The sequence below is a fragment of the Homo sapiens genome, chromosome 22 (genome assembly GCF_000001405.40).
Source record: "Homo sapiens chromosome 22, GRCh38.p14 Primary Assembly".
Lineage (NCBI taxonomy): Eukaryota > Metazoa > Chordata > Mammalia > Primates > Hominidae > Homo > Homo sapiens.
In genome coordinates, this window is record NC_000022.11 from 17,325,556 (window position 1) to 17,327,344 (window position 1,789).

At 44.8% G+C, this 1,789-nt stretch overlaps 1 annotated feature.

The window, feature by feature from the left end:
- Positions 418 to 587: an enhancer, noted in NCBI's record as "experimental_62410 CRE fragment used in MPRA reporter constructs". NCBI's record gives its function as "activates a minimal promoter by MPRAs in K562 erythroleukemia cells, with activity observed for the non-introgressed 22:17806948 variant allele {active_cell/tissue: K562}" and the evidence as "EXISTENCE:reporter gene assay evidence [ECO:0000049][PMID:34662402]".

Genomic DNA, 1,789 nt, shown 5'->3' on the forward strand with positions numbered 1-1,789 from the left:
AAAGACATAATTGATCATTATGAAGATTTAAAAACTTCATGAAAATTAGAAACTTCTGCTCTGAGAAAGATACCATCAAAAGAATGAGAAGACAAGCCACAGACTGAAAAAAAAAATTTACAAAAGACATGTCTGATAAAGGACTGTTATTCAAAATATGCAAGGAGCTCTTAAAACTCAATGATTAGTAAACAAACAGCCCAATTTAAAAATGGACCAAAGACCGTAACAAATACCTCACCAAAGAAGGTATACAGATGGCTAATTATCATATGACTAGATGCGCTACATCAAATGTCATTAGGGAAATGCAAATTAAACAACAAGAAGATACCACTACACACCTTTTAGGGTGGCCAGAGTCCACTGACAACACCAAATGCTGACAGAATGTGGAGCAGCAAGAACTACTGCTGCTGCGGATACAAAATGGCACCACCATGTTGGAAAACAGTCCGGCAGTCTCCTACAAAAGGAAACATATCTTACCATTTGGGCTGGGCGCGGTGGCTCACGCCTGTAATTCTAACACTTTGGGAGACCGAGGTGGGTTGATTGCGTGAGCTCAGGAGTTCAAGACCACCCTGGGCAACACAGTGAAACCCCATCTTTACTCAAAATACAAAAATGTAGCTGGGTGTGGTGGCGGGTGCCTGTAATCCCAGCTACTCGGGAGGCTGAGGCAGGAGAATCTTTTGAACCCAGGAGGCGGAGGTTGCAGTGAGCTGAGGTCACGCCACTGCACTCCAGCCTGGGCAACAGAGCAAGACTCCATTTGAAAAAAAAAAAGAAATATTATCTTATTATTTGATCCTGTGATCCACCTCCATTGTATTTACCCAAAGGAGCTGAAAACTTCTGTCCATGCAAAAACCTGCACAGGGATGTTTATAGTAGCTTTGCTCATAAATGCCAAAACTTGGAAGCAACCAAGATGTCCTTCAGTAGGGGAATGGAAAAATAAACTGTGGTACATCCACACAACAGAATATTACTCAGTTCTAAAAAGAAAGGAGCTATCAAACCATGAAAAGAAATGGAGGAAATTTAAATATCATTTCAATGGCAAAAACCGCAATAACCTTTGCATCAACCTAATAAGTGAAAAGAACCCAATCTATAAAGACTCCAAACTGTGTGCTTCTGACCATATGATGTACTACAAAAAAGAAAAACTGGGGCTGGGTGCGGCGGCTCATGCCTGTAATCCCAGCACTTTGAGAGGCCAAGGCAGGTGGATCACAAGTTCAGGAGATCGAGACCATCCTGGCTAACATGGTGAAACTCCGTCTCTGCTAAAAATACAAAAAAATAAGCTGAGTGTGGTGGCGGGCGCCTGTACTCCCAGCTACTCGGGAGGCGGAGGCAGGAGAATCACTTGAACCTGGGAGGCAGAGGTTGCAGTGAGCCAAGTCATGCCATTGCACTCCAGCCTGGGTGACAGAACGAGATTCTGTCTCAAAAAAAAAAAAGAAAGAAAGAAAGAAATAAAAACTAAGGCTGGGTGTGGTGGCTCACACCTGTAATCCCAGCACTTTGGGAGGCTGAGGCCAGCGGGTTGCTTGAGCTCAGGAGTTGAAGACCAGCCTGGGCAACATAGTGAGACCCCCATCTCTATAAAAAAAAAAATACAAAAACTAGCCAGGCGTGGTGGCATGCACTGTAGTCCCAGCTAGTCAGGAGGCTGAGGTGGGAGGATCTTGAGCCCAGGAGGCAGAGGCTGCAGTGGGCTGAGATCGCACCACTGCACTCCAGCCTGGGCAGCAGAGTGAGGCCCTGTCACAAAAAA